This window comes from Homo sapiens, chromosome 22 (assembly GCF_000001405.40).
Source record: "Homo sapiens chromosome 22, GRCh38.p14 Primary Assembly".
NCBI classification, from domain to species: domain Eukaryota; kingdom Metazoa; phylum Chordata; class Mammalia; order Primates; family Hominidae; genus Homo; species Homo sapiens.
The window spans coordinates 29,176,956-29,180,262 of record NC_000022.11 but is presented as its reverse complement, the minus strand read 5'-3'; positions in this window follow the sequence as shown (position 1 = coordinate 29,180,262).

Genomic DNA, 3,307 nt, shown 5'->3' with positions numbered 1-3,307 from the left:
TGCCACACTGTCTTCATTGCTGTGCCTTTGTAATAAGTTTTAAAGTTAGGTCATTTAAGTCCTTTAATTTTGTTCCTCTTTTTCAAAGTTGTTTTGACTATTCTAAGCTTTTGCATTTCCAATACATTTTGTAATCAGCTTGTAAATTTCTACCAAAAAAGCCTGCTGAGACTTTGACTGAAATTATGTTGAGTTTGTAGATTAATTTGGGAAGAATTGACATATTGACAGTATCGAGTCTCTCAACCCATGAACATGGTATACCTCTCCATTTATTTAGACCTTTAGAGCTTTTTCTCAGAAACATTTTGTAGCTTTTTTTTTTTTTTTTTGAGACGGAGTCTTGCCCTGTCACCCAGGCTGGAGTGCAGTGGCACGATTTTGGCTCACTATAACCTCTGCCTCCCGGGTTCACGCGGTTCTCCTGCCTCAGCCTCCCAGGTTCACGCGGTTCTCCTGCCTCAGCCTCCTGAGTAGCTGGGATTACAGGCAGGCGCCACCATGCCCGGCTAATTTTTGTATTTTTAGTGGAGACGGGGTTTCACCATCTTGGCCAGGATGGTCTCGATCTCTTGACCTCGTGATCCGCCCGCCTCAGCCTCCCAAAGTGCTGGGATTACAGGCATGAGCCACCACGCCCAGCTTGTTTTGTAGCTTTAATTGTATAGGCCTAACATACTTTTTTGTTCTGTTTAGTCTATTTCATATTTTTATGCTACCGTAAATAGTATTTTTTAAAATTTCAATGTCCAGGTGTTTTTTGCTAGTAATATATTTTTTATGTTGATCTTGTATCTTTCAACCTTATTATACTCATTTATTAGTTCCAGCAGCTTTTTTGCAAATTCCATCAGATTTTTAACTTAGATGAACATTTTTTTTTTTGCAAATAAAGGCAACTTTTCTTCTTTATATCAAATCTGAATTTTTTTTATTTCCTTTTCTTGTCTGATTATATGGGCTAGAATCTCCAATACAATGTTGAATAGAAGTGGTGAGAGTAGACAGACCTGTCTTGTTCATGATCTTAGGGGAAAAACATTAATGAACCCTAATGTTCATTATAGGGTTTTGTTTGGTAGATGCCTTTTATTAGGTAAGAAGATTCCCTTCTATTCCTGGCTTGCTTAATTTTTTTTTTAACAATCAGGAACGAATCTTGGATTTTGCCAAATGTTTTTTCTGCCTTTAATGAAATGATCTGATCATTTTAATTGTTTAGTCTGTTAATACAGTGAATTACACTGATTGATTTTCCAGTGTTAAAGCCACTTTGCAGTCCTAGGAGAAATCCCACTGGTTGTGATGTACAGTTGTCTTCCCTTATCCATGGGGGATGTGTTCCAAGACCCCTAGTGAATGCCTGAAACCTCAGATAGTACCAAACCCTATATACACTATGTTTTTTCCTGTACAGACATACCTATGATAAAGCCTAATTTATAAATTAGGCACAGTAAGATATTAACAATAACTAATAATAAAATAGAACAATTATAACAATATACTGTAATAAAAGTTATATGAATGTGGTCTCTCTCTGTTTTCTTTTACTATACTATGGGTAGCCAAAACCGTAAGAAGTGAAACTCCAGATAAAGGGGGACTACTGTATTATTTATTAATAAATAGTCATGAGTCACTTAACGATGGGGATATGTTCTGAGAAATGTGATTTGATTTGATTTCATCATTGTGTGAACATGACAGAGTGCACTCACGCGAACCTAGCTGAGATAGCCTACTACACACCTAGGCTATGTGGTGTAGCCTATTTCCCCTAGGCTACAAATCTGTACAGCATGTGACTGTACTGAATACCATAGGTAACTGTATCACAGTGGTATTTGTGCATCAAAACGTAGAAAAGGTACAGTAAAAATACAGTATTATAATTTTTTTTTTTTTGAGACAGGATCTTACTCTGTTGCCCAGGCTGGAGTGCAGTGGCACGATCTCAGCTCACTGCAACCTCCGCCTCCTGGGCTCAAGCCATCCTCTCATCTCAGCCTCCCATGTAGCTGGGACCACAAGCACAAGCCACTATGCCTGGCTAATTTTAAAAAATTTTTTTGTAGAGATGGGGTTTTGCCATGTTGCCCAGGCTGGTCTTGAACTCCTGGGCTCAAGCTACCCACCTGCCCTGGCCTCCCAAAGTGCTGGGATTACAGGCATAAGCCACTGCACCTGCCCCAGAATTATAATCTTATGGGATCACTATTGTATATGTGGTCCATCATTGACGGAAATGTCATTATGTAGCAAATGACTATTACATATTCAGAGACAACTTCTGGTATAGTGGTGTGAGGAGCTCCACCTACCCTCTGCCCAGAGAAATAACTATAACTGGTAAATATTATATGAAAAAACAACCATTTAAAGTCTCTGGAAATTGTCCTGAGGTCACACAGCAAATGAAACATTTATTCAAGAAAATCGGCTGGGGCCGGGCGCAGTGGCTCACACCTGTAATCCCAGCACTTTGGGAGGCTCAGGCAGGCGGATCATGAGGTCAGGAGATTGAGACCATCCTGGCGAACATGGTGAAACCCCGTCTCTACTAAAAATACAAAAAAATTAGCCAGGCGTGGTAGTGGGTGCCTGTAGTCCCAGCTACTCGGGAGGCTGAGGCAGGAGAACGGTGTGAACCCGGGAGGTGGAGCTTGCAGTGAGCAGAGATCGTGCCATTGCACTCCAGCCTGGGCAACAGAGTGAGACTCCATCTCAAAAAAAAAAAAAAAAAAAGAAAGAAAGAAAAAAAAGAAAATCGGCCTGGCGCAGTGGCTCACGCCTGTAATTCCAGCACTTTGGGAGGCTGAGGCAGGCGGATCATGAGGTCAGGAGTTCGAGACGAGCCTGGCGAATGTGGTGAAACCCGGTCTCTATTAAAAATACAAAAAAATTAGCCGGGCATAGTGGCACGCGCTTGTAGTCCCAACTACTCGGGAGGCTGAGGCAGAAGAATCGCTTGAACCCAGGAGGCAGAGGTGGCAGTGAGCCGAGATCACCCCACTGCACTCCAGCCTGGGCAACAGAGCAAGACTGTCTCAAAAAAAAAAAAAAAAAAAAAAAAGAAGAAGAAAAAAGAATCTATTTAATCTCAGAACAGTAGAACAGTGAGAGCCTGTGGCATTTGAGCCATGGCCCATTCTCTCCCTTCCCCGTCCCCCCAGCTCAGCGAGATGGATGTTCTACTCCAGGTGGATGCAGCCAAGAACACAGGTCTCCCTCTCCTCAGTCTCAGCTGGGGAGCTAGAGTATCTCCCTAGGAAGGGCAGGACATCAGCATTTCTCATCCACCACG